This window comes from Homo sapiens (genome assembly GCF_000001405.40).
Source record: "Homo sapiens chromosome 16 unlocalized genomic scaffold, GRCh38.p14 Primary Assembly HSCHR16_RANDOM_CTG1".
NCBI classification, from domain to species: domain Eukaryota; kingdom Metazoa; phylum Chordata; class Mammalia; order Primates; family Hominidae; genus Homo; species Homo sapiens.
In genome coordinates, this window is record NT_187383.1 from 1,109,330 (window position 1) to 1,111,426 (window position 2,097).

Consider the following 2,097-nt stretch of genomic DNA (forward strand, 5'->3'; position numbering starts at 1 on the left):
ATCATTTAAAAAAATCATCACTTTCCCCCTAAACAAAGAGGATTTTTATCAGAAACTTATGGGAAGCCCCTTGCTCTACCAGATTCCCACCCTCATTTCTCCTGAAGGAAGAAAGAAAACCATCTCTATTGATTTCTCCTCTCATCCTCTAGGACTAAAACCAGAAAGCTGCATGCTGCCTGGGTGAGACTTAGAGAAGACCCTGTCTGTAGGAGCAGGAATCTCAGAGCCTTGGCTGAAAGGCATGGTCCTGAAATGAGATGGAGTCCCCCATGGAGAGCACACGTGGAAGTCCACACCTGAGGGCTCACTGCTCTTCACCACAGATGCACTCCCCTACTGAGTCCTGAGACCTGAGTGCACCCCATAGAGTAGGACTCAGATGAGGGGATGCAAATCTCCACCAGCTCCACCCTCCTCTGGGTTCAAAAGCCGAGAATGGGGCCTCGCTCAGTGACTCCTGTCCCCCACTATGGACACGTTTTGCTCCACACTCCTGCTGCTGACCACCCCTTCCTGTGAGTGTTGTGGTCAGGGACTTCCTCAGAAGTGAAACATCAGTTCTCTCCTTTGTGGGCTTCATCTTCTTATGTCTTCTCCACAGGGGTCTTGTCCCAGGTCACCTTGAAGGAGTCTGGTCCTGCGCTGGTGAAACCCACAGAGACCCTCACGCTGACCTGCACTCTCTCTGGGTTCTCACTCAGCACTTCTGGAATGGGTATGAGCTGGATCCGTCAGCCCCCAGGGAAGGCCCTGGAGTGGCTTGCTCACATTTTTTTGAATGACAAAAAATCCTACAGCACGTCTCTGAAGAACAGGCTCATCATCTCCAAGGACACCTCCAAAAGCCAGGTGGTCCTTACCATGACCAACATGGACCCTGTGGACACAGCCACGTATTACTGTGCATGGAGAGCACAGAGACACAGCCCAGGATGCCTCCTGTACAAGAACCCAGGCTGCGTCTCAGTGGTGCTCCCTCCCTACCTCTGCAGAACAGGAAAGTGTGACTGAGATGCCATTTCCTGCCAGGGCTTGTGTTTCCTATACCAACCAGACTCAGAGCCCTGTCTGTTTTCCTATTCTGTATTATTAAATGTCATGCTCCCTGTTAGTGATCCATGTAAGCAGAGGCTGTATCCTGTTTGACAAAGATTGAGCATCTAAGAGTCCCATTACCTCGGCCACATGCATCACTGATATGTGGCCACTTATTTCTTGAGCTCATATCCTTCCAAGGGTCTGAATACAAATATCTATAACATATGACATTCTTAAACTGCAGGAAATAGTGTTGGAGAAGAATGTGGAGATAAAAGAGCAGGATGATTAATTAAAATCCAGATACCATCTTTTCTTGCAGAGACAAATTTACACTAATAAAGTAATTTTATGAAACAACAAGAAAGACAGAATGTGTCCTCATCATGGAGTGTCTCACTTGCAGTGCACAAATAAATTTCTAGAAATTTTATAGGGAAGGTGTGATAGATGAGGCTGATTTCCACACAGGGGGTGATTAAATACCCAGGTAAGTATAAAATCCAACACTTGGAAAGTAAAATGCCTCAGCTTGACATCAGAAACCCATCTCAGTAAGTCTGAGGAGCAATGTGGAAAAGAAATGAAAAATTCGACAACACTTTTCTTATGAAATTCCTAGCTCAAGTTTGAACAGGACTATAAATCATGCTGCTATAAAGACACATGCACACGTATGTTTATTGCGGCACTATTCACAATACCAAAGACTTGGAACCAACCCAAATGTCCAACAATGATAGACTGGATTAAGAAAATGTGGCACATATACACCATGGAATACTATGCAGCCATAAAAAATGATGAATTCATGTCCTTTGTAGAGACATGGATGAAACTGGAAACCATCATTCTCAGTAAACTATCACAAGGACAAAAAACCGAACACCACATGTTCTCACTCATAGGTGGGAATTGAACAATGAGACCACATGGACACAGGAAGGGGATCACACTCTGGGGACTGTTGTGGGGTGGGGGGAGGGGGGAGGGACAGCATTAGGAGATATACCTAATGCTAAATGATGAGTTAATGGGTGCAGCACACCAACATGG

The 2,097-nt window shown here is 45.8% G+C and overlaps 1 gene segment (V, D, J or C); it reads left to right on the forward strand.

Moving 5' to 3' along the window:
• Positions 1 to 472: 472 nt before the first annotated feature.
• On the forward strand, positions 473 to 1,654 carry LOC107987384 (immunoglobulin heavy variable 2-26-like). The segment is given in 3 exon segments: positions 473 to 518; positions 605 to 910; positions 1,524 to 1,654. Coding segments are annotated over 3 exon segments (483 nt in total).
• Positions 1,655 to 2,097: the final 443 nt, after the last annotated feature.